The following is a 26,034-nucleotide window of genomic DNA, read 5'->3' on the forward strand; positions in this document are numbered from 1 at the left end:
GAGGTGGGAAGATCACTCGAGCCCAGGGGTTCAAGGCTGCAGTGAGCTATGATCATGCTACTAAACTCCAGCCTGGGTGACAGAACGAGGCCCTGTCTCTAAAAAATAAAAATAAAAAAAGGAAGAGTCCATGGAAAGTCATATAAGTTCACAAGCTAACAGCAGTGGAAGCCAATAGGTATGGAACCAGTGGCTACACAAAGGTCACAGAGAACAGACACATGCCCTGAATCTGGACAAGAGGTCTCTGCAGGGTGAGATGAGGAGCCAGCCTTACATGGCCTGGAAAGAGCAGGCAGGCACCCTTGGAACTATCAGGTGAATTAAGAGAAGTCCAGAAACAGGGCAGGTGGGACGGTTGAATTCTGGGGCAGGCATAAGGGAGTCTCTGAGGTCGACATGCAAGAGACCAGGGGCAGGGCTGGCCCACACTGCAGGTGGAGCTGGCAGCCAGATGGGAGGAGATGCAGGGAGGGCATTAGGCCCAGAGTGCACCTGGAGATCAGAACTGGGGGCACCTAACAGGGGCCTGTAGGGCAGCCAGGACAAGCACAGGAAGATGGGACCAAGATGCATGGAGAAAGCTTGTGGGACAGTGCAGCGTGGCTCCCTGGTGGGCTCCAACACTAGTTATCAGCTCCCAATAGCAGCTGCCTTCCCCTGGAGGCTTGCTGGTGCCTGCGGAATCTCCTTTATCCTATAGCAACCACTCTATGAGGCAGACGCTATCTCACCCATTTGCCAATGAGGAGATGGAGGCTCAGAGAGGTCTGATCACTGGCCAAAGCCAGGCAGTGAGTGCTAGAAACAGCACTTGAACTCGAGCCTGTCTCATCTCACACACCATGCCTGCCTTTTCTTTTTCTTTCTCTTTCTTTTTCTTTCTTTTCTTTCTTTCTTCCTTTCCTCCCTTCCTTCTTTCTTTCCTTCTTTCTCTTTTCTTTCCTTTTTCTTTCTTTCCTTCCTTCTTTTTCTTTTCCTTTCTTTCTCTCTTTCTTTCTCTCTCTCTCTCCCTCCCTCTCCTCCTCCTCCTTCTTTTTCTTCCTCTTCTCCTCCTCCTCCTTCTTCTTCCTTTTCTTTCCCTTCCTTCTTTCCTTTCCTTCCTTCTTCCTTTCTCCCCTTCTTCCCCTTCCCCTTTCCTTTCCTTTTTCTTTCTTTTTACAGAGACAGAGAACTCCTGGGCTCAAGTGATCCTCCCACCTCAACCTCCCAGAGAGCTGAAATTACAGGTGTGAGCCACTATGCCCAGCCGACCATGCCTTTTTCATGTTCATGAAAAGATGCTCAGCACTACTAGTCATTGAAGCAATGTAAATTAAAACCACATTGGCCGGGCATGGTGGCTCATGCCTGTAATCCCAGCACTTTGGGAGGCTGAGGTGGGTGGATCCCCTGAGGTCAGGAGTTCAAGCTCAGCCTGGCCAACATGGTGAAACCCTGTCTCTATTAAAAATACAAAAATTAGCCGGTGTGGTGGTGTGCACCTGTAATCCCAGCTACTTGGGAGGCTGAGGCAGGAGAATTGTTTGAACCCGGGAGGTGGAGGTTACAGTGAGCCAAGATCATGCCATTGCACTCTAGCCTGGGCAACAAGAGTGAAACTCCATCTCAAAAAAATAAAATAAAATAAATAAATAAATAAATAAAAACCACATTAACCACAGGCCTATTCGAATAGTTAATATCAGGATAACTAACAGCACCAGGCAAGGATGGGAAGCAACTGGGATGCTTACATGCTGCTTTTGGGAAAATGGTGCAACTTCTGTGCAAAACACGTTGTCCGTTTCCCGTGACATTAAATGTACCCTTCCCATAGGTCCCAGCAGGAATTCTCCTCCTGGGTATTGATACCCTGGAGAAGTGAAAATTTAGGATCACAAAAAACCTGTACACGAATGCTTACAACAGCTTTATTCATAATCGCCCCCAAACTGGAAGCGACTCAACCAGCCTTTAACAGGGGAAGGGATAAACACAGTGTGGTCCATCCATACAGTGGTATATTACTCAGCAACGAAAAGCAACTAAATATTAACACATGCAACAAAGTGAATGAATCTCAGAGGCATTATGCTGACTAAAGAAAGCCAGAATCAAAAGGCTAAATATTGCACGATTCCATTTATATGACACTCTGGAAAAAATCAAAAGTGTAGGGATGAAGAACAGATCAGTGGCTGTCAGGGGAGGGGCTGAGGGAGAGCAAGGGCTGCTGAATGCCCGTGTTTCCATTTTTGGACAGGATTCCTGTAAAGTAGGCAATTAGGGAAGAACTTTGGCTGTCATTTGGGGCTGCCACATTGAGAACAAGCTGGGACAACATGTGAGTGACAGGATCCTGGGCAGAATCTCAGCTGACAGCATAGCCAGACCCAAAGAGGCCTGATCGCAGGACAGCACTCTAGTAGGACTGTGGGCTGACACCGACCTAGTGTCCCACTGTGAGGCTCAGTCTGAATTTTTTTTTTTTAAGACAGGGTCTTGCTCTGTTTCCCAGGCTGGAGTGCAGTGGTGCAATCTCAACTCACTGCAACCTCCGCCTCCTGGGTTCCACAGATTCTCCCACCTCAGCCTCCCAAGTAGCTGGGACTGCAGGCACTCGCCGCCACCACACCCAACTAATTTGTGTATGTTTCGTAGAGACGGGGTTTCGCCATGTTGTCCAGGCTGGTCTCAAACTCCTGGCCTCGAGCAATCCACATGCCTCAGCCTCCCAAAGTGCTGGGATTACAGGTGTGAGCCACTGCACCTGGCCAGTTTGAAATCTTAATCAGGAGATTGGATGAAGATCCAGAGCTCAAGCAGATTCTCAGATGCTATAACAGTGGGAGGGAACGTGTATGTGGAAGACAGAATAGAGAGTTTAAAATTCTTTCTAGATGGGAAACTGTGAGGTTGGATTTCCATTCAGAGCAGCATTGCACAACTGCTTGTTAGGGAACTATTTGAACCATGTCTTTTATTTTCTGCATGCTTTAACATCTGAGGTTTTGCTAATCCTGGAGGGCCTGCCTCTCCTAGAGATACAGCAACTTGCCCACAAATGCACTTTTCGAATGCAAACCAACTGATATAAACCATATTCCAACTACCTCCTTTATCAGATTCTCACACTCCAGGCCACTATCCACCTGCTGTAATCACCCCAGGGCAAGATACCAGACAGCTAGTGACAGCCCTTATTCCACGGAGCCTGCTGAAATTATTCAAACTAGCAAATCTCAAGCCTGCTTACCCTGCCTCACCAGTTCCTTCCTGCAGAAACCATCATAAAAGTAAAGTTGCTTTGTCCAGAGTTTTTCTGTCTCATGTGCGTCATGTTCGGCCCTGATGCCTCCCTGGGGACCCCTCCTCTTCCCCCTATGGCACAGCGGCCCCTCCTCTTGGGAACTGTGAGTAATAAACTATCTTTTCAATGGTAATTATTTCCTGATCTGTCAGCTATACTATATTTCAAATTTCCTATTAATACTATTTTATTTTATTTTTTTGAGACAGAGTCTCACTCTGTCACCCAGACTGGAGTGCAGTGGCATGATTTCGGCTCACTGCAACCTCTGCCTACCAAGTTCAGGCGACTCTCCTGCCTCAGCCTCCCAAGTAGCTGGAATTACAAGCAGGCACCATCACACCTGGCTAATTTTTGTATTTTTAGTTGAGATGAGGGTTTCACCATGTTGGCCAGGCTGGTCTCGAACTCCTGACCTCAAATGATCTGCCCGCCTTGGCTTCCCAAAGTGCTGGGATTACAGGTATGAGCCACCATGCCTGGCCTAATACTATATTTTAGAAGAGTAACTTATTTCTTGGTATTGGTTGATAGAAAAAAGCCTGGGGTTTTTGCTGAGCTTGAGGTCACAGCAGGTCATAGTGGGGATGGAGTGTCTGTGTTGCTTTGCTGTGACCATCGGGCCACCACTAGGACACTGTCCCAGCCGTTCCTGAGGAGTGGGCCAGCTGTGATGCATAGGCTGTGACCTGCTGTTGTAGAATCCCTGTTCCTGAGAGGTTGAACAGGGTCTGGCCAGGGAAGGCTGTGAACTCATTGTGGATTCAGAGATCAAAGAGGAGGGTGTGGGGACCATGAGGTTCACCTAGAATTTCTCCATCTTCTCCATGAAGGTTTGGTCTGGGAGCAGTACCTCCACGGTGTAGCTGATGCGTTTAGAATGAACCAGGCTGTAGGTGTTGTAAAACCTCAGGACATCTGCAGTGAGGGACAGACATTCAGACAAGATGCCCCACCTGGGACTCTGACTTCCATGGTGGTAAATCTCTGCGTGGGTACCCAGACCAGGGAACCATTGCCACAATTGAGAGCCCAGAGCCAGCCTCACACTGTGCCCACCAGAACCAAGGGCCCTCACCTGGTAGGACCTGGATGCACATTGTAGCACCCTCCCCCTAGCCCCCAGCTCCAGGTAGAGCCATCCCTGCCAACTCTTACAGCTGCCGGCCTGGAGGCAGGTGAGAATCCCATCTTCAGGCACCATGTGGGCATTGTAGCGCTGGCTGGGCAGCACCTCTGTCATCTCCCTAGCCCTCTGCCGCTCCCCCATCTTGGTCTTCAGGAAAACCCCAAAGCCAATGTCCCCACCATCTGAAGCAAACTGCCACCTGCAGTGGATAGAGCCCCATTGGCGACCCCCTGCCTGGGCTCCAGGCCCCTCCCAGATGTGCCCAGGTGTAGAGTGGCTGCCATCCCTACCTGAGCACACAGCCCGGGAACAGGATCTCGTTCTCCACCTGCAGGGAGGAGCCGCGGCCCACGGACCTCGTGTGCTCATACTGCAGCCTCACCTGCTTGCACAGGTAGTAGCTCTTGGGCACCTCACCCCCGTAGTTGATCTGTGGGTGAAGGGGGTGTGTGGGCACTAGGTCACAGCTTCTCCCCTCCTTCCCCATCCTCTGGGCACCCTGTACCTTGGTCAGGCACTTGGGGTTGCCATCGGGGTCAGTCATGGTCCCCCCAAACTCCACGGGCAGCTGGTCGGGGCTGATGAATTTTGTCAGCTCCTGCTTCCAGTTGTCTGCATGGGAGCAAGAGAGGGACTCCAAAGGGACTCAGGAGACTCAACAGAGGGCAGAGGGGGCTGAGCCCAGGTCTGTCCTTTGGCCAGCTGCTCTCCCTCCCTGGCGCGCTTTTGCCACTCCATTGCCTAGAGCAGTCCTGTCCCAGAAGAGGGAAGCCAAGTGGCCCTAGGTCTTGTCCTGGGGCTCAGCATGTGCTGTGTTGACTAGGTCCTGTCCCAGGCCTGCCCCTCTCTTACTGCCCCTGCAGGCCCTGCCCCCACATCTGTCCAGGTATTGGCCCATTGGCCACGTTCATAGGAACTCGGACCAGCAACTCCTGGAGCCTGGGGTTGAGGTCAGGCAGGCTATGACCCGGTCTTCGCTTTCCCTTAGAGACTGAACTCAGCCTTCTGGTCAGATACTGCCCTCAGCTCCCAGGGCTCCAGCACCCTCAGAATTGCAGGGCCAAGCTCGGGTCAGTTCCCCACAAGCTGCTCTGAGATGGCCAAGGATGTTCCACAAAGGGACACGGGCATTGCAGGAACAAAGTAGACGAAAGCAGAGGTGGACACCCAGTACCCTCGGAGAGAGAAGGACTGTATAAGCATGAAAGCGGTGGAAAAATCAAAGGAAAAGCCCCCTAATTTGGCATAAAAACAAAACACTAGGCTGGGCCTGGTGGTGCACTCCTGTGGTCCCAGCTACTTGGAAGGCTGAGAAGGGAGAATTGCTTGAGCCCGGGAGGCAGAGGCTGCAGTGAGCCGAGACCACACCCTGTACTCCAGCCTGGGCAACAGAGTGAAACCCCATCTCATAAATAAATAAATAACACTAAGTCAAAAATTAGATAATAGGCAAACTATGAACTGGCCAAAATGCCACAAATATGACAGGAAAGGGCCAGACATGGTGGCTCACGCCTGTAATTCCAGCACTTCAGGAGGCCCAGGCAGGAGGACTGCTTGAGGCTAAGAGTTTGAGACTAGTCTGGGTAACATAGTAAAGACATGACTCTACAAAAAATAACAATAAATGTGCCACGTGTGGTAGTGTGCATCTATAGTGCCAGCTACTCAGGAGGCTGAGGCAGGAGGATCGCTAGAGCCCAGGAGGTTGAGGCTAGAGTGAGCTATGATCATGCCACTGCGCTGCAGCCTGGGAAACACAGAGAGACCTTATCTCTGAAATAAATATATATATTTCATATATATAAGTATATATCTCAAATATATACATATATATACACACACATATCTATATATATGGACTTACGTGATCCTCCCATGTTGTCAGCCTCCATAGCAGGAAAGGACAAGGTGTTTAATATGCAAAGAGTATTTATAAATTAATGGCATAAAAAATACTTTCCTAGAAAATGGTCATGAGACACAAGAAGGCAATAAACAACAAATTAAAATAGTCAATTATAAAGAAAATGTCCAACCTCACGAGTAATAAAAGAACCAAATAACCCAATGTAAAATAATAATAAACATCATTTTCCATTATAAAAAAGGCAAGAATATTTTTAATTATTGATGTCCAACCTTGGCAAGAGTGTGGGAAAATGGGCACATTCACACACAGTTGGTGGAGTTAAACTCTGCAATCTGTGTGAGCGCTACACTGAAAAAGTTATCAAAAGTCCTAACATGTAACCAGGTGTGGTCATGCCTGTAGTCACAGCTACTTGGGAGGCTGAAGTGAGAGGACTGCTTGAGCCCTGGAGGTCGAGGCTGCAGTGAGCCAAGATCATGTCACTGTACTCCAGCCTGGGTGGCAGAGTGAGACCTTGTCTCAAAAAAAAAAAAAAAAAAAAAAAAAAGTCCTAACATGCATTTTCCTTTGGGGGATAAAAATCTCCCATTTCTAGGATTTTATCCTATGGAAAAAACTGTGGATGTGTACAAAGGTTATCTATAAGGATCGTCACTACTCATTTGTTCCTAATAATAAAAATAATACAAACAACCTGAATTTAGGACTTTACTAAAATGGGAAAATGATTATCATATGATAAGTAGTTACAAAAGGGTATATGTATGGTATGAACCCATTTTTTTTTGGAAAATATATTTCTCTGAAAAAGATAGTGTTAATTGTAGTTCGCTGGGTGACAGGATATTCCCCCCTTCCTTATACATTTCTGTACTTTACAAATTTCTAAACTGTATTGCTTATATAATTTGGAAAACCTAGATTTCTTTTTTTTTTTTTTTTTTTTTGAGACAAAGTCTAGCTCTGTCACCCAGGCTGGAGTGCACTGGCGCGATCTCAGCTCACTGCAACCTCCGCTTCCCGGGTTCAAGCAGTTCCCTGCCTCAGCCTCCCGAGTAGCTGGGATTACAGGCTCCTGCCACCACGCCCGGCTAATTTTTTTTATTTTTAGTAGAGACGGGGTTTCACCATATTGTCCAGGCTGGTCTTGAACTCCAGACCTCGTGATCCACCCACCTCGGCCTCCCAAAGTGCTGGGATTAGAGGCGTGAACCACCGCGCTCGGCCTCTTTTTTTTTTTTTTTTTTTGAGATAGGGTCGCACTCTGTCACTCAAGCTGGAGTTTAGTGGCGTGTTCTCAGCTCACTGTTGCCTCAACCTCCTGGACTCCAGTAATCCTCCCACATCAGCTTCCAGAGTAGCTGGGACTATAGGTGTGCACCACCATGCCTGGCTAATTTATTTATTTATTGTAGAGACAGGGTCTCATTATGTTTCCCAAGCTAGTCTCCAACTCCTGAGCTCAAGCAATCTTCCTGTCTCGGCCTCCCAAAGTGCTGGGATTACAGGCATGAGCCACTGTGTGCCGCCAAAGATCCGGATCTAATTCCCCCCATTAAACAGATGAGGAAACCAAGACCAAGACAGAGCAGCTGAGTGACTCACTCCGCTTGCAGCTAATAACTGGCAAGGCCAACTCTCAAATCCAGCTCTCCTAACCTCAAATCGGGATCTCTACCCATGCTACCTCCAGGAATCTCTGAGACCCTTCCTGGCCCGTCTTCCCTCTCGGGGGCAGGCACAGCAGCCCACCTGGCAGCCCACCAGGCAGTGGGCCCTCAACACCAGTTGGGTGCCCTACACCTTCGGATGCAGGAACCATCAGATCTGTGAGAAGGACCACCCTCAGCTCAGGATCCAGGCTGGAAAAGAGGCCGCAGAGGGCTCACTCACCTCCGAGAATCACCACCTTCCTGCGTGTCTCTTCACTCATGTAAGACTTGACCAGGTTGAAGGCTACGGCGAATAGCTTGGGGGCTGAAACCAGGCACAGAACTGCTCCCTCAGGCGGCTGGCTGGGGTCTCAGGTGCCCACCCGGTCACCGCACATCCCCTGTCCCCCCAACTCATGCATATCCTGGGCTGCTTTACTCACCTCTCACAACAATTAAACTCTTCAAGATCTCAGGGTAATTTGCTTCAAGTGCTGAGAAAAACTGCGGAACCAAGTGGCAGAAGTGATGGGCGTCTGAACACTGTCCCCTTGCATCCCCTCTCGCCCCACCCTCCAGGACCCAAGGGCACAGCCTTGGCCTCGAATGCCAACCATCCAAGGCTTTGATGCAGACGGCTCCCGATGCCCAGACACCAAGAACCCACCCAGACACAGAGAAGCTGCCACTTCTGGTTTGTTGGATCCTAGTCATAGACCTTCCTTGAAGCAGCTAGTGCAGATTCTTTTTATTATTATTTTTATTTCTTATTTTATTTTCTAGAGATGGGGTCTTGCTATATTGCCCAGGCTGGTCTTGAACTCCTGGGCTCAAGTGATCCTCCCACCTCAGCCTCCCAAGGTGCTGGGATTACAGGTGTGAGCCACCGCACCTGGCCTAGTGCCGATTCTTGACAGATGAGTGGGGGGATAACTCTATTCATGACAGGCAAGAAAAATCCCATTCACGACTGTGGAAGGTTCCCTCCCACGTGAGTCAGACAATAGTTCAGCTTCAGGAATGAGAGAGACTTTCTTTTAGCATAATATACATAGTTGCAAGGAATGGCTTTTTATTTTTATTTACTTACTTTTAAAATTTTAAATAAGATAAACCAATTAAAATTCTTGGTTAGACAGTAAAACATTCTTGCCAAGAATAAGTCTACACTGTATGAAAGGATATTTGATTCCTACAAATGAGTCCCAATAGGCCCCATTACATTTGTTTATAAGAGACACTGCAAATAGGGAATGGTTTTTTTTAAAAAAACTGAGATATTGTCCGGGCGTGGTGGCTCACGCCTGTAATCCCAAAGCACTTTGGGAGGCCAAAGTGGGAGGATCATGAGGTCACGAGTTCGAGACCAGGCAGGGCAACATGGTGAAACCCCCTCCCTACTAAAAATACAAAAATTAGTTGGGCGTGGTGGCGGGCACCTGTAATCCCAGCTACTTGGGAGGCTGAGGCAGGAGCATCACTTGAACCCGTTAGGCGGAGGCTGCAGTGAGCCACTGCACTCTAGCCTGGGCAACAGAGTGAGACTCCGTCTCAAAAAACAAAAGAAAACAAAAAAACTGAGATATAATTTACATCCCAGGCTGGAGTGCAGTGGCGCGATCTCAACTCACTGCAACCTCGAGTTTCTGGGCTCAAACGATCATCCCACCTTAGCCTCCCAAGTAGCTGAGACCACCCCCACACACCACTACGCCCAGCGAATACTCTTATTTTGTAGAGATAGGGTCTTGCTATGTTCAAGACCAGGCTGGTCTTAAATTCCCGAGCTCAAGCGATCCTCCTGCCTCAGCCTCCCAAAATGTTGGCTTTACAGATATAAGCCACTGTGCCTGGTGGCCAATAACATTTTTTATGTTTAAGTTCTTTGCTGTCCTGGGTGAAACAGAAAGAAAGGAACAGGTAGGCTGGCTGCCCTGCGGCCCAGGCCTCCCCACAGCTTCCCTCCTACTGCAGCACTCCCAGATGACCTACTCTCAGCCCTTCCCAGAGGAAATGGCAAAAAGGAAGGTCAGGGGCTGGAAGCAGAAGGGTAGGCAGGTATTGGGGGTGAGGGCAGAGATCAGGGGTGGGATGAGAGTGAGCAGAGCCAGAATATGAGGACAGGGACATCCACAGGGACATTGGCAGGTCAGGGAATCGGGCCCTGTTGTGACCTGCTGAACATGAGATGGTGACCTGGGGGTGCCACGCCCAACTTAGCACAGCCCCGAGAAGCTGTGGGTATGAAAATATCCCTGCCAACAAAAGTAAGGAACTGTAGGCCAGGTGCGGCGGTTCACACCTATAATCCCAGCACTTTGGGAGGGTAAGGCAGGCAGATCACCTGAGGTCAGGAGTTCAGGACCAACCTGGCCAACATGGTGAAACCCCCTCTCTACTAAAAATACAAAAATTAGCCGGGCGTGGTGGCAGGCGCCTTAATCCCAGCTACTCCGAAGGCTGAGGCAGGAGAGTTGCTTGAACCTGGCAGGTGGAGTTTGCAGTGAGCCGAGATCACACCACTTGACTCCAACCTGGGTGACAGAGCAAGACTCTGTCTCAAAAAAAAGAAAAGAAAAGAAAAGAAAAAAAAAACGGGCCAGGCACAGTGGCTCACGCCTGTAATCCCAGCACTTTGGGAGGCCAAGGCGGGCAGATCACCTGAGGTTGGGAGTTCGAGACCAGCCTGATCAACATGGAGAAACCCCATCTCTACTAAAAATACAAAATTAGCCAGGCATGGTGGCGCATGTCTGCAATCGCAGCTACTCGGGAGGCTGAGGCAGAAGAATTGCTTGAACCCGGGAGGTGAAGGTTGTAGTGAGCCGAGATCACGCCATTGCACTCTAGTCTGGGCAACAAGAGCGAAACTCCATTTCAAAAAAAAAGTAAGAGCTGCAAACATGGCCTGTGCAGCTCTTGTGGGCAGTACCTGTGGGCGGGTACTCACCTGGCAGTGAGGAGAGAGGATTCCCGCCCCTGCCCCACACCAGCAAGTGGAGGGTAAAGACCCAGGCATTTGACCACCCACCCATGCCCCTGGCGGGGTCACCTCACCTCCTGGAGAAGCTCTATTCCTGGCTTCCACAGATCCCTCAGGCCCAGCCCTTCGAGACCAAAAATAGCTATGATTTTCTCCACCCTCTTCCCCAGCTGCAAGGGAATGACAGGGGGTGAGACCCTGTGAGGGCCACTGCCCCCACCCATCCAAGATGGGGCTGGGCCTAAGCCCAGGGCACTGGCCTGGCTTGTCTCAGCTCTGCATGGCACAGAGATGGGGGAGGGAAGGGGCCATCCCACAGGATGCCAGGACCGGAGTGACCCAAGGACCGACCTCTTTGTGTCTGTCCATGGGAGGCCAAATCGCTGTGTTGCAGTTCCCTCTTCGGTCCAGTGGGGCTGAAATCCCTGTCCCTCTCGTCCAATGAGGCTGCAGAGGGCAGTGTGGCCCAGTGGATTGAGTGGGCTTTGGGGCCAATTGGGGGAGAAATGATTCCCAGTTCAGCCACATACTGTGTGGCCTTGGGTGGGTCCTTGGCCTCTCTGAACCTGCATTCACTCCACAGTACCAGGAGGAGCCGAGGAGCCCAGGAGCCCAGGAAGGCAGATTCTGGGTGTGAGGCTCAGGGGGTGAGGGTGCTGTGTCCGGCTGCAGCTGCCCAGGGTGGCACCCACACACCTTCTGACTCTGCAGCTCACACTCCCGCAGGAGCAGCTCGCAGCTCCGGAAGCTGTCCCTGAGCAACTCCTGTTTGGAGGCTGAGAGCAAGAGGCCTTTGGGGTCCAGGCTTCCCACAATGTGGTACCAGACAGGGCTGCCCTCACCGTCGTGGCCGCATATGCCGTTAGCGTTGTACAGCCTGACCACCTGGATGCATACACAGGAGACGGGGGTTCAGTGCCGAGGGCTGAGGGCCCAGGGATCAGGGTATGGGTTTGAGAGATGCTCACCTCTGGGGGCTGCCAGGCAAGGATGTTGGCCAGGTCTTGTTGCTTCCGGAACTCCATATGCTGCAGAGACACGGCAGGAGGTGGTGAAGATTCTGCCTGTCCCAAAGACCTCTGTGGATACCTGGGGACACCAGGCCAGGTCCCTCTGCCTGCAACCACTAAGGGCCTGCCAGAGCATCCCCAGGCTCCACTGACATAGAACTGGGGGATGGAAACAGGATGGGGATGGAAGGGGACATGCATCTGAGAGGCCAGGAGAGACCTAGAAAGGGACAGGGGAGGCCTGCACTCTGCAGCTGTCTCCCCCTGCATCCTTCCAGATGTTTCCCATGCCCCCTCCCGCATGGCTGCCCTGGGAGTCAGACTCTACTTCCTGACTTCCAGTTGCCCTTAAGCAAAAACCTATACCCCCCTACAAGGCCTGCAGAGCCTGGCTGATGTGTTGGGGCCACCCTGTAACCTCATCACTTCCCCTTCTCTCTCCAACACGATCTCCGTGTGCTCCTAGAATATACCAGCTCAGGCCAGGCACAATGTCTCACGCCTGTAATCCCAGCATTTTGGGAGGCCAAGGTGGGTGGATCACCCGAGGTCAGGAGTTCAAGACCAGCCTGGCCAACATGGTGAAACCCTGTCTCTACTAAAAATACAAAAATTAGCTGGGTGTGGTAGTGCATGCCTGTAATCCCAGCTACTTGGGAGGCTGAGGCAGGAGAATTGCTTAAACCTGGGAGGCGGAGGTTGCAGTGAGCTAAGATCACGTCATTATACTCCAGCCTGGGTGACAGAGCAAGACTGTCTCAAAAAAAAAAAAAAAGAATACACCAGCTCATTCCCACCTCAGGGCCTTTGCATGAGCTGTGCTCTTCACCCTGATCTTCACATGCTTGCTTCCTTTTGGGCATTCATGTCCCTGCTGAAATGTCCCTGACCTCTCTTCCCTCCTTCCCTGTTTTGCTGTCTTCATTGTACTTTCCATTCTCAGGAATTGTCTTCTTTGTTCCTCTGGTTTCTTTTTCTCTCTTCCCATCACGGCAGTCTCCCCAGCGCCTAGCACCAGGCCAGGTTTACCTTCCAGTCTCAATGAATGGGTGTTCCATGAATGAATGAATGGATGGATGAATGAATGAATAAATTTGTGCCTCAGACTTGGGATAGGAAACAGGACCAGGCTAGGCAGGGGGAGGTGTCAACCTCACCTTCCTCAGCATGTCCTCTGATTTCTGCAGGTCAAAGCTCCGAGCTGCAACAAGAGACAGGGTTATGGTTGTGGAATTCTAGAGGCTCACTCCAGGCTTCTGGAGAGACAACGGCCCTGCCCCACCCTCCAGGCCAGCTTTGTCTCCTGTTACCCAGAGGGCCTTGTTCTTGACCTGGGGAGCCACAATGGCTGAGATATCCGGAGACCCAGGAACACTGGACACAGGCTCCTTGATTCCCTGGGCATGCCCCTTGGTGGGCCTTGGGGCCCTTTTCCTGTTGTTCCAGAAAAGTCATTGAGACAGCAGACCCTCAGAATCTGTCAGAATCATAAGGCTGAGAATTGTTTAAATCAGCAGATCACAAACATTTTGGCCTCAGGAGCCCTTAATACTCTTTAATTTTTACTTAAAAAAAATTTTTTTTTTTTTTTGAGAAGGAGTCTCCCTCTGTCACCCAGGCTGGAGTGCAGTGGCATGATCTTGGCTCACTGCAACCTCTGCCTCCCGGGTTCAAGTGATTCTCCTGCCTCAGTCTCCTGAGTAGCTGAGATTACAGGCACCCACCACCACGCCTGGCTAATTTTTGTATTTTAGTAGAGATGGGGTTTCACCATGTTGGTCAGGCTGGTCTCGAACTCCTTACCTCAAATGATCCGCCTGCCTCACCCCCCAGAATGCTGGGATTAAAGGTGTGAGCCACTGTGCCCAGCCCCCTTAATACTCTTTAAAAAAATCACCAAACTCATCTGGGAACTATGGCTCATGCCTATAATCCCAGCATTTTTGGAGGCCAAGGTGGGCAGATCACCTGAGGTCAGGAGTTCGAGACCAGCCTGGACAACATAGTGAAATCTCGTCTGTACTAAAAGTACAAAAATTAGCTGGGCATGGTGGTGGGCACCTGTAATCCCAGCTACTTGGGAGGCTGAGGCAGGAGAATCACTTGAACCCAGGAGGTGGAGGTTGCAGTGACATTGCTTGAGCCTAGGGGTTCGAGACCAGCCTAGGCAACATAGTGAGACTCTGTCCCTATAAAAAGAAAAAAAAAAGAAAAGAAAAATTATATATAAGTTTGCCTAATGGCCATGGTGAGATTATGGGTGATTTATAGAAATATCATTTTGTTTTTCTTTTTCTATACCTTCCAGATTTTCCATGATAAATGGGCTCTGATTTCATAATCAGAAAAACACCCAGTGGATGTTATAAACAAATGGGAGTGAGGTCCTAGCGGCCCCAGCAGGCTGTCAAAGCAGTCCTCTGCCCTGAGCCCAGCCTTAGCTGGGCTGTCACCCAGCTTTCTAAGAGTCAGCCTGGTCCATTGGCTCACTGGCTTTGCAGCAGCACTTCTGCTGAGAGCCTCTGGCTGGTGAGAACCAAGTGGTTTCACTTGGTCCCCAGGGCCTTGGGGAGTAGTTCTCACATTGATTTCATCTGGGCATCATAACAACCATGAAAGCTGCCAGTGGCGGGGAGAGAGTCTTGTTCCCTATAAACAGATGAGGAAACTGAGGGCCCAACAGAAGGGGGCCATAGGCCCCAGGTCTCATGCTGCTAGTAAGAGGCAGAGCGGGGACTAGACGCCTGTCTTTGGAACTCCAATCGGGACTCTTTTTTGATTTGGTGGCAGTTTAAAGACATTCTAGTTAGAAGAAATGGTACTGAGCAAAGATGAGCTAGGAAACCCTGTTGGCTACTATGTCATAGCTTTTGTTTGTTTATTTGTTTTTGAGACAAGGTTTTGCTCTGTCACCCAGGCTGGAGTGCAGTGGCACAACCATAGCTTACTGCAACCTCAACTTCCCAGGCTCAAGTGATCCTCCTACCTCAGCCTCCCCAGTAGCTGGGAACACAGGCAGGCAACACCACGCCTGGCTAAGTTTTTTGTGTTTTTTTTTTTTTTTTTTTTTTGTAGAGATGGGGTTTTGCCATGTTGTCCAGGCTAGTCTCAAACTCCTGGGCTCAAGTCATTCTCCCACAGCCTCCTGAGTGGCTGGAACCACAGGTGTGCCACCAGGTCTGGCTAAGTTTTAAAATTTTTTTTGTAGAGATGAGGTCTCCCTATGTTGCCCAGGCTGGTCTCAAATTCCTGGACTCAATCAATCCTCCTTCCTCGGCCTCCAAAAGTGTTGGGATTACAGGTGTGAGACCCCTAGCCCAGCCTTGTCATAAGTTACATAAAGTACACACCAGGCTCAGAGGCAAGTTGCCATCACAGGTTTTACAAAGGCTATTCATCACAGATTAAGTATTCTGGGCTCAACATTCAGGGATGTGAATTCCTGTGTACTCTGCAATAGTAGGAGCAGGTGTGATGATCAACATGGTTTCATAGTGGTTTTCTTACTGCAGCTGAAACCGACTCCAGCCCTACCGCCCACCCCCTACGAACCCCCCAGGGAAGGAGTCTTAAGTGTAGGAGTTGCAGCCACATTTTCAGGGCCACTGAGAATCCTGTCTGTGCATTCAGATTCCTGGGATTCTGACATTTATCTCAAGAGCAAACCTCTTCCCTAACCTGGTCCCCAAACTCTTTTTATGAGAAGATGTTAAGCAATTGGCCTCTAATGTCAGACTGACCTGACTTTGTCACCTGCTAGCATAGCGACCTTGGTCAAGTGGTTTAACCTTTGTAAGCCACAGCTTCCTCCAATGCAAAAACAAAGCTAACAATAATACCTACCTAATTGGGTTGAACAAGGAGGAGGAGGAGGGAAAGAGAAGAAAGAAAATAATAGATAAATGGCCGGGCACAGTGGCTCACACCTGTAATCCCAGCACTTTGGGAGGCTGAGGCAGGTGGATCACTTGAGGTCAGGAGTTCGAGACCAGCCTCGCTAACATGGTGAAACCCCATCTCTACTAAAAAACAAAAATTAGCTAGTTGTGGTGGCGGGCACCTGTAAACCCAGCTACTCAGGAGGCTGAGGCAGGAGAATCACTTGAGCCCAGGAGGCGGAGGTTACAGTGAGCCAAGATTCTGCCACTGCACTCCAGCCTGGGTGACAGTGAGACTCTGACTCAAAAAAAAAAAAAAAAAAAAGGAAATAATACATAAAAACTGCTGTACCCAGTGCCTGGTACAGAATAAGTGCTCAAAATATGAAAGTATTTCCACTCCTTGTACTAGCCACCTCCAAGATGACCATCAGTGATCCTCACCTAGTATTCACTCCCTGCTCTGCTAAACAAAAATCATAGGAGGCCATTGCTTTGTACTAAACTCCAGCACTAGGTCCCAACAGACAAGACCAAAAATCAAGATGGAGTCACCCATGCTCGCTAAACTGAAACTGAGTTGTTATCTGACTTGAGAAATCAAGAGAGATAGCCTAGCCAGGCACGGTGGCTCATGCCTGTAATCCCAGCACTTTGGGAAGCTGAGGGAGGTGGATTACTGGAGTCCAGGAGTTCTAGACCAGCCTGAGCAACATGGCGAAACCCTGTCTCTGCAAAAAATATACACAAAAATTAGCCAGGCGTGGTGCCGAGCTCCTATAGTCCCAGCTACTAGGGAGGCTGACGTGGGAGTATCGCTTGAGCCCAGGAGGTCAAGGCTACAGTGAGCTGATGTCAGCCTGGGCTTCAGAGTGAGACCTTGTTTGAGAGAGAGCGAGCGAGCAAGCCTAATTTCCCTAACAGGCCAATTACAATCTTCAGCTGGTATGTTAATGAAGTTCTCTCTGTTTTTAGCCTTACAGCAAAGAGTAACCTGAAGTCACCTGATGTTAACCAATCAGTTATCTTTCTATTGTTCTGTATCCCTGTCCTTGCCTTACCAGAAAAGTACTGTAGCTTTGAAATGATAGATCTGCCTTTTGTTCTGTTTCTGCTTTCTTCAGCCCCTTTTCTGTCTATAAAGCCAAACTCCTCTGCTTGACTCATCGGAGCACTTATTCTATCTCATAACATGAAATGTTGCCTGATTCTAGAATTCCAATAGAGATAATTGAAATCTTTAAACCAAATGTGTCATTATTCTGTCTTTGACAGTTCCCTCCCACACTGAGCAGGGCTGAGCTGTGTACCTGATAGATTGCTGTAGAAATGATGGAATTTGGCCAGACGAGATGGCTCATGCCTGTAATCCCAGCACTTTGGGAGGCCAAGACAGGTGGATCATCTGAGGTCGGGAGTTTGAGACCAGCCTGGCTAACATGAGGAAACCCTGTCTGCTAAAAATACAAAAATTAGCTGGGCATGGTGGCACATGAATCCTAACTACTCGGGAGGCTGAGGCACAAGAATTGCTTGAATCTGAGAGGCGGAGGTTGCAGTGAGCCGAGATCACGCCACTGCACTCCAGCCTGGGCAACAGAGTGGGACTCCGTCTCAACAAAAAAAAAAAAAAAAGAAAGAAAGAAAAGAAAAAAGAAATGATGGAATGTGACTCAGAAAGCTTCACTGTAAGATACCACCACTTCCTCCCTGCTCACTGGGATCACTTATGGCGGGAAGCCAACTGCCATGTTGTGAGGATGCTTGAGCAGGCCCTGTGAGGAAGAACTGAAGCCTCCTGCCAACAGCGAGCACAGACTTGCCAACTATGTTTGACACCTTGGAAGCAGATCCTCCTGTCCCAATCAAACCTTCAGATGACTGCATCCCCGATGGGTATCTTGACTGCAACCTCATGAGAGACCCTGAGTCAGAAACACCCCACTAAGCCTTTCCATAATTCCTGGCCACAGAAATCACGAGAGATAATAAATGTTTGCAGTTGTTTTAAATGGCTATGTTTTGGAGTAATTTGATACACTCAATAGATACCAAATACACTCCTCTTTCATGCCATTGACCCTACCCCAGCCCCACGCTCTATCCTTACCTTGGAGCCAGCGCAGGAGGAAGTAGTCATCAGGATTGGGCAGCGCAGATAGCACATCTTGGATGTTCTCCCGGAACTGAGGACAGACAGGGAGAGACCTGGGTCAGAGGCCAACCACCCTCGGTCCTGCAGGTCTCAACTGTCCTTGAGGAAGGGGATGTCTGAGTGAAGAGGTCCCACTCGGGCTGGGAGGATCAGGGTCCGGGTCAAGCCATAACAGTTTGTTTCCTCCGTCTTGAAAATGGGATGATATAAAGAACCAACTACAGGCCAGGCGCGGTGGCTCACGCCTGTAATCCCAGCACTTTGGGAGGCAGAGGTGGGAGGATCACCTGAGGTCAGGAGTTTGAGACCAGCCTGGCCAACATGGTGAAACCCTGTCTGTACTAAAAATACAAAAATTAGCCGGGCGTGGTGGCAGGTGCCTGTAATCCCAGCTACTCAGGAGGCTGAGGCAGGAGAATCGCTTAAACCCAGGAGGCGGAGGTTGCAGTGAGCCGAGATCCCACCATTGCACTCCAGCCTGGGGGACAAGAGTGAGACTTTGTCTCAAAAAAAAAGAACCTACTACACTAAACATCAGAGAGAATTAAATGTGGATTAAACACAGAGAAGCTTTACAAGCCTGACTCAGGGATGTGGGGGCAGGGAGGGGCCCTCTTTAGTGCCCTGATCTTCATCCTTAGGAAGCCTTCAGGCCAGGTCAGGTGGGAGGATAAAGTGCACAGAGTCTGAGGCTCAGAGAGGTTGAGCAACTTGCCTAGTGTCACACAGCCAGTGAGTGGCAGAGCCAGTTGCCTGATTCTAGAATTGCAATAAAGATAATTGAGATCTTTAAACTGAATTTGTCTTAATTTTGTCTTTGACCGTTCCCTCCCACACTTAAGCAGGGCTGAGCTGTGTACCTGATAGGTTAGGGTTGAAATGATGGACTGTGACTTAGAAGCCTTCAATGTAAAGACATGGTTTGGCACCCATCAGCCACGCCCAAGTGAGGGGTGGCTTGACCTGGCCTGGGAGTTGGTTAGGACAGTTCAGCTGGCCCTGGGCCCACCCTGCAGGGTCTGAGAGCTGAGAGGCCACTCCTGGGTGGATGTCATTGACTGTAGGCTAAAGCCAGCCTCCAACACTGATGAATATGGTAAGGAAAAGAGCACCGGACAAAGAGTCAGCAGGTCCCACTGTGGCCTTGCCTGAGTCACTCCCCTCTCTCTGGGTCTTATTCTCTTTGGGCCCCAGATGGATCCTCAAAAGACTTTCCTTGGCCCCCCACCAAAAATGGACTGATAACCTTTGTCTAAAGGAATATGAAAGAGGGTTTGGCCTTGGGCTAAGCCTTAAATGAATCCTGACATGACACTGCCATTATACCAATTCGCTAAGTGAGGAAACTGAGGCTGGAAATGGTGATGCGCCTTCTTAGCCAACATGAGCAATTTTTATTTCAATTTCTGACTTCAATTGTCTTTTAAGAGGGTTATCTCAGGTCTAAGCAGAATGTCCTTTTCCTGATGCAGAACACTGCCCCTCCTTTTTGTTCCTTTTTTTTTTTTTTTTTTTTTTTGAGTATTGTATTTTGAACTCATGGGCATTAAGATCAATTACTTGGCCAGGTGAGGTGGCTCACACCTGTAATCCCAGCACTTTGGCCAGCCGAGGCAGGTGGATTGCTTGAGCTCAGGAGTTTGAGACCACCCTGGGCATCAAGGTGAAACCTCATTACCACAAAAAATACAATAATTAGCCAGGTGTGGTGGCGCACGCCTGTAGTCCCAGCTACTTGGGAGGCTGTGGTGGGAGAATCGCTTGAACCCAGGAGGCACAGATTGCAGTGAGCTGAGATCATGTCACTGCACTCCAGCCTGGGCAATAAATCAAGACCCTGTCTCAAAAAAAAAAAAAAATCAATTGGCTGGGTGCAGTGGCTCATACCTGTAATCCCAGAACTTTGGGAGGCCAAGGCGGGCAGATCACTTGAGGCCAGGAGTTCGAGATCAGCCTTGCCAACACGGTGAAACCCCATCTCTACTAAAAATACAAAAATTAGCTGGGCGTGGTGGCAGGCGCCTGTAATCAAAGCTACTCAGGAGGCTGAGGCACAAGAATTGCTTGAACCCAGAGAGCGGAGGCTGCAGTGAGCTGAGATTGCACCACTGCACTCCAGCCTGGGCAACAGGGTGAGACTACATCTCAAAAAAAAAAAAAATTCAATTACTTGAACTTTTTTTTAATTAAAACTAACAGCTTTATGGGGATATAATCAGATGCGAATTCACACTTGAACAACTTGTAAGACTTTTCCCCTAGCTTTGTTTATACTTTGTTTTCTTTTTAAAAGATTCATACAATTCAAGAAACACAACTTTTAAAAAAATTTTTATTTATTTTTTAATTTTATTTTTATAATCATCTTCTTGGATACTAAGAAACACAACTTCTAAAGGCCACAATCATCCTTAAGCTAGATTTTAATCATACTCCCCTCCCAGCTTTATTAAGGTATGAATGGTGTTTAATTGCTTTTCATCAAAGAGAAATAAAAACTGTTCTGGCTGATAGGAGTGGCTCACGCCTGTAATCCCAATACTTTGGGAAGCCGAGGTGGGTGGATCACTTGAGGCCAGGAGTTCGAGACTAGTCTGGCCAACATGGCAAAACCCCGTCTCTACTAAAAATACAAAGATTAGCCAGGTATGGTGGCACACGCCTGTGATCCCAGCTACTCAGGACGCTGAGGCAGAGAGTCATTTGAACCTGGTAGGCAGAGGCTGAAGTGAGCCAAGATCACATCACTGCACTCCAGCCTGGGTGACAGAGCCAGACTCCATCTCAAAAAAGAAAAAAAAAAAAGTTAAAAATTAGCTGGGTGTGGTGTGCGTGCCTGTAGTCCCAGCTACTCAGGAGGCTGAGGTGGGAGGGTTGCTTGAGCCCAGGAGTTTGAGGCTGCAGTCAGCCATGTTCTCACCACTACACTCCAGCCTAGGTGATAGAGTGAGACCCTGTCTCCAAATAAATGAATAAATAAATTTCCTGTTCACTCTCATGGACAAAAAACAAATTATCTGGTATTGCTATACATCAGCAACACATTCAGCCATTTTCTAAGGAAATGGGTCAAGTTACCAACACACAGCTTTACACACACTACCTTGAGGAAGAAAACCAAGAACAGGCACAGGAGAAATTGTGCCTGTTCTTGGCACCGAAGGGCAGGACGCGAAAGGGCAGGCCGGTGGGCGGGGACGCCCGGCTCAGACCCCGTCCCCAGCCTGGACCTGGGCCCCACCCTGCCCACACCGCGACCCTCCCCATCCGTCTCGCGACCCTACCAGAAAGTCCACTCCAGCTTTTCCTTCACCTCGGCACGGCTCTGAAAGGATCGGTCCCCTCCGGCCCGCACCCACCCCCAAGAGGGGCCTTCAGCTTTGGGGCTCAGAGGCACGACCTCTTGGGGAGGGTTAAAAGGCAGACACCCCCCCACCCCCGCGCCTCCACTCCCCGACTCCTTCGCCGCCTCCAGCCTCTCGCCAGTGGGAAGCGGGAGTAGCCGCGCGGCCGGAGTCCGGAGGCGAGGGGAGGTCGGCCGCAACTTCCCCAGGCCACCTTAAGAGGACGATGTAGCCAGCTCGCAGCGCTGACCTCAGAAAAACAAGTTTGCGCAAAGTGGAGCGGGGACCCGGCCTCTGGGCAGCCCCGGCGGCGCTTCTAGTGCCTTCCAGCCCTCGCGGGCGGCGTAGCCGCGGCCCATGGAGCCCGCGGGCCGGTCCCCGGCCGCCTCGGGCCGCTGCTCTGCCTGCTGCTCCCCGCGTCCTGCGCCTGGTCAGGAGTGGCGGGTGAGGAGGAGCTGCAGGTGATTCAGCCTGAGAAGTCTGTATCAGTTGCAGCTGGAGAGTCGGCCGCTCTGCAGTGCACTGTGACCTCCCTGAACCCTGTGGGGCCCATCCAACGGTTCAGAGGAGCTGGACCAGGCCGGAAATTAATCTACCATCAAAAAGAAGGCCACTTCCCCCGGGTAACAACTGTTTCAGATCTCACAAAGAGAACCAACATGGACTTTTCCATCTGCATCAGTAACATCACCCCAGCAGATGCCGGCACCTACTACTGTGTGAAGTTCCAGAAAGGGAGCCCTGACGTGGAGTTGAAGTCTGGAGCAGGCACTGAGCTGTCTGTGCGTGCCAAACCCTCTGCCCCCGTGGTATCGGGCCCCGCAGCGAGGGCCACACCTGACCACACAGTGAGCTTCACCTGCGAGTCTCATGGCTTCTCACCCAGAGACATCAGCCTGAAATGGTTCAAAAATGGGAATCAGCTCTCAGACTTCCAGACCAACGTGGACCCCGCAAGAGAGAGCGTGTCCTACAGCATCCACAGCACAGCCAATGTGGTGCTGACCCGCGGGGACATTCACTCTCAAGTCATCTGCGAGGTGGCCCACGTCACCTTGCGGGGGGACTCTTTTCGTGGGACTGCCAACTTGTCTGAGACTATCCAAGTTCCACCCACCTTGGAGGTTACTCAACAGCCCATGAGGGCAGAGAACCAGGTGAATATCACCTGCCAGGTGACGAAATTCTACCCCCAGAGACTACAGTTGACCTGGTTGGAGAACGGCAATGTGTCCCGGACAGAAACGGCCTCAACTCTTACAGAGAACAAGGATGGCACCTACAACTGGATGAGCTGGCTCCTGGTGAATGTATCTGCCCACAGGGATGATGTGAAGCTCACCTGCCAGGTGGAGCATGACGGGCAGTCAGCGGTCAGCAAAAGCCATGACCTGAAGGTCTCAGCCCACCTGAAGGAGCAGAGCTCAAATACCGCCGCTGAGAACACTGGACCTAATGAACAGAACATCTATATTGTGGTGGGCGTGGTGTGCACCTTGCTGGTGGCCCTACTGATGGAGGCTCTCTACCTCGTCCGAATCAGACAGAAGAAAGCCCAGGGCTCCACTTCTTCTACAAGGTTGCATGAACCCGAGAAGAATGCCAGAAAAATAACCCAGGACACAAATGATATCACATATGCGGACCTGAACCTGCCCAAGGGGAAGAAGCCTGCTCCCCGGGCCGCGGAGCCCAACAACCACACAGAGTATGCCAGCATTCAGACCAGCCTGCAGCCTGCGTCGGAGGACACCCTCACCTATGCTGACCTGGACATGGTGCACCTCAACCGGACCCCCAAGCAGCTGGCCCCCAAGCCCGAGCTGTCCTTCTCAGAGTATGCCAGCATCCAGGTCCCGAGGAAGTGAATGGGACCGTGGTTTGCTCTAGCACCCATCTCCATGCTCTTCCTTGTCCCACAAGGAGCCGCCATGATGAGCACAGCCAGCCCAGTTCCCGGAGGGCTGGGGCGGTGCAGGCTCTGGGACCCAGGGGCCAGGGTGGCTCTTCTCTCCCCACCCCTCCTTGGCTCTCCAGCAGCCACGGCCCCCTCTCCCCACATTGCCACACACCTGGAGGCTGACGTTGCCAAACCAGCCAGGGAACCGACCTGGGAAGCGGCCAGAACTGCCTGGGGTCCAAGAACTCTTGTGCCTCCGTCCATCACCATGTGGGTTTTGAAGACCCTTGACTACCTCCCCGATGCTCCGAAGCCTGATCTTCCAGGGTGGGGAGGAGAAAATCCCACCTCCCCTGACCTCCACCACCACCACCACCACCCCTCAACTGGGGCTTGAGTGGGGAAGATTTCCCCTTTAGATCAAACTACCACTTCCATGGAAAAGCTGGAAAAAAACTCTGGAACCCATATCCAGACCTGGTGAGGTTGCTGCCAACAGTCCTGGCCTCCCCCATCCCTAGGCTAAAGAGCCATGAGTCCTGGAGGAGGAGAGGATCCCTCCCAAAGGACTGGAGACAAAACCCTCCGCTTCCTCAGGTCCCTCCAAGACTCCCTGGGGCCCAACTGTGTTGCTCCACCCGGACGCATCTCTCCCTTCTAGACCTGAGCTTGCCCCTCCAGCTAGCACTAAGCAACATCTCGCTGTGGGTGCCTGTAAATTACTGAGAAATGTGAAACGTGCAATCTTGAAACTGAGGTGTTAGAAAACTTGATCTGTGGTGTTTTGTTTTGTTTTTTTCTTAAAACAACAACAACGTGAAAAAAAGAAAGTCCACTCCAGCGCCCGGTCGCCACCCTTCTTTGCCCCGGGAACCCCATCCCGGCACCTCCCACCCCGCATACACCACCTACCCCATGCAAAACCCTATGATGGCAGGAATCGAGACCTCCAAGGACCCGTCGTTGCCTCCATGCTCATGGAACCGTGTGAGTCTTCCTGGACCCCAAGCTTGCCGTGTGCGACCACGAAGGAAAGACCCTAAGGACCTTCAAGGGACTCCTCCCAGGCTAGAGACGAAAATGCACCCTGTTCCTGCCTCCTCCAGCTCATAGCTGAGGACGTGACCTGCCAATGCAGCCTCCCCAGCAGGCCAGCAGCCTTCACCAGCCCTGTCCAATATGGTAGCCACAAATTCTTAAAATGTGGCTAGTTTGAACTGAGGTCTGCTGTGAGTGTAAAATACACAGGATTCCAAAGACTCAGTATCCCCTCAAAACACTCATTTTTTTTTTTTTTGAAACAGGGTCTAGCTCTGTTGCCCAGGCTGGAGTGCAGTGGCACGATGTTGGCTCACCGCAGTCTCGACCTCCTAGGCTCAATCCATCCTCCCACCTCAGCCTCCCGAGTAGCTGGGACTACAGGCATGGGCCACCACACCCAGCTATTTGTTGTTGTTGTTGTTGTTTTTAGAGATGGGGTCTCCCTATGTTGCTAATTTTTTAATTTTTTGTAAAGATGTGTTCTTGCTATGTTGCCAGAACTCCTGGGCTCCAGTGATCCTCCCGCCTCAAAGTGCGGGGATTATAGGCCCGAGCTACTGCACCAGACCAGTTGTTTTTATATTGATTAGATTATATATTGAAGTTAATACATCATTAAACTTTACTTCAATTGTTTCTTTTTAGGTTTTTTTTGTTTTGTTTTGTTTTGTTTTTGTTTTTGTTTTGTTTTTGAGACATAGTCTTGCTCTGTCTCCCAGGCTGGAGTGCAGTGGCAGAATCTTGGCCCACTGCAACCTCCACCTCCTGGGTTCAAACGATTCTCCTGCCACAGGGTTTCACCCTGTTGCCCAGGCTGGTCTCAAACTCCTGACCTCAAATGATCCATCCACCTCAGCCTCCCAAAGTGTTGGGATTACAGGCATGAGCCACAGCGCCCAGCCTCTTTTTAGTTCTTTAATGGAGCTACTAGAAAATTTCAAAAAGGCCGGGCATGGTGGCTCATGCCTGTAATCCCAGCACTCTGGGAGGCCAAGGTGGGTGGATCACCTGAGATCAGGAATTCCAGACCAGCCTGACCAACGTGGTTAAAACCCCATCTCTACTAACATACAAAAATTAGCCAGGCGTGGTAGCAGGTGCCTGTAATCCCAGCTACTCCGGAGGCTAGGGCAGGAGAATTGCTTGAACCCAGAAGGCAGAAGTTGCAGTGAGCCAAGATTGTGCCGTTGTACTCCAACCTGGGCAACAAGAGCGAAACTCCGTCTCAAAAAAAAAAAAAAAAAAAAAAAGGAAGAAAGAAAATTTCAAATGACCTATGTGGCTTGCGTTTGTGGTGGCGTGGTATTTCTATTGGTTAGTGCTGGTGTAGCCTCTGGCTACCAAGCCCCTCAGGGTTGGGAAGAGACCCAGAGCTGGAGAGTTCAGAAGAAACTCAGGGACCTTGAGTCCTGCCCTTCCCCGTGGCAGAAGGAGAAACTGAGGCTGGTGTAGGAGTCTCTCCCTTCACTCACCTGGGCCAGCGACTTCTCCTGCGATGGGCTCAGGTCACCCACTTGTCCACTCATGCTGCCCATGAATGGGTCCAGGCTCCACTCTGTGGCTCCCTCCAGGTGGCCTGCCTTTTGCCAGCTGGTAGCCATGCCCACATTTATCACCACCCAGAAATCCCACTACTTCCTGTGAGCCTCAGGGCAACAGGTGGGGCTCATTCCTTACTAGGTGCCTCAGGCATGGGGCCCTGGATTCAGCCTGCCCTGGGTTCACATCCTCACTTGCAAAATTAGGACAGCGATGTTTCCTCGGAGCGTTGATGACA

At 50.5% G+C, this 26,034-nt stretch overlaps 1 protein-coding gene and 1 pseudogene across 13 annotated transcripts, besides 1 other annotated feature; one reads left to right on the top strand and one right to left on the bottom strand.

Annotated features, from left to right (window-relative positions):
* Positions 1-1,899: 1,899 nt before the first annotated feature.
* SEC14L6 (SEC14 like lipid binding 6) lies at positions 1,900-25,842 on the bottom strand. Of its 13 annotated transcripts, XM_011530357.3 has the most exons (13): positions 21,257-21,755; positions 17,928-18,003; positions 13,250-13,373; positions 13,097-13,140; positions 11,898-11,957; positions 11,626-11,814; positions 11,004-11,099; positions 8,390-8,450; positions 8,188-8,271; positions 4,927-5,033; positions 4,712-4,851; positions 4,451-4,620; positions 1,900-4,210 (listed from the first exon to the last, which is right to left on the bottom strand). In XM_011530357.3, the coding sequence occupies exons 2-13, from the start codon at positions 17,982-17,984 to the stop codon at positions 4,098-4,100; spliced, it is 1,245 nt and encodes a 414-aa protein (XP_011528659.1). In that variant the 5' UTR covers positions 17,985-18,003; positions 21,257-21,755; the 3' UTR covers positions 1,900-4,097. The 13 variants fall into 13 exon arrangements, with proteins under 13 accessions (XP_011528659.1, NP_001180265.2, XP_047297438.1 ...); NM_001193336.4 differs by lacking the exons at positions 13,250-13,373; positions 21,257-21,755 and adding an exon at positions 25,730-25,842; XM_047441482.1 differs by lacking the exon at positions 4,451-4,620 and having other exon boundaries at positions 11,281-11,814; positions 21,567-21,755.
* SIRPAP1 (signal regulatory protein alpha pseudogene 1) lies at positions 21,316-24,036 on the top strand (annotated as a pseudogene).
* Positions 21,705-22,697: an enhancer, noted in NCBI's record as "H3K4me1 hESC enhancer chr22:30938591-30939583 (GRCh37/hg19 assembly coordinates)". NCBI's record gives its function as "activates a minimal SCP1, AML or CMV promoter by ChIP-STARR-seq in naive H9 embryonic stem cells {active_cell/tissue: H9 hESC(naive)}" and the evidence as "EXISTENCE:reporter gene assay evidence [ECO:0000049][PMID:30033119]".
* Positions 25,843-26,034: the final 192 nt, after the last annotated feature.

Source organism: Homo sapiens, chromosome 22 (assembly GCF_000001405.40).
Source record: "Homo sapiens chromosome 22, GRCh38.p14 Primary Assembly".
NCBI lineage: Eukaryota > Metazoa > Chordata > Mammalia > Primates > Hominidae > Homo > Homo sapiens.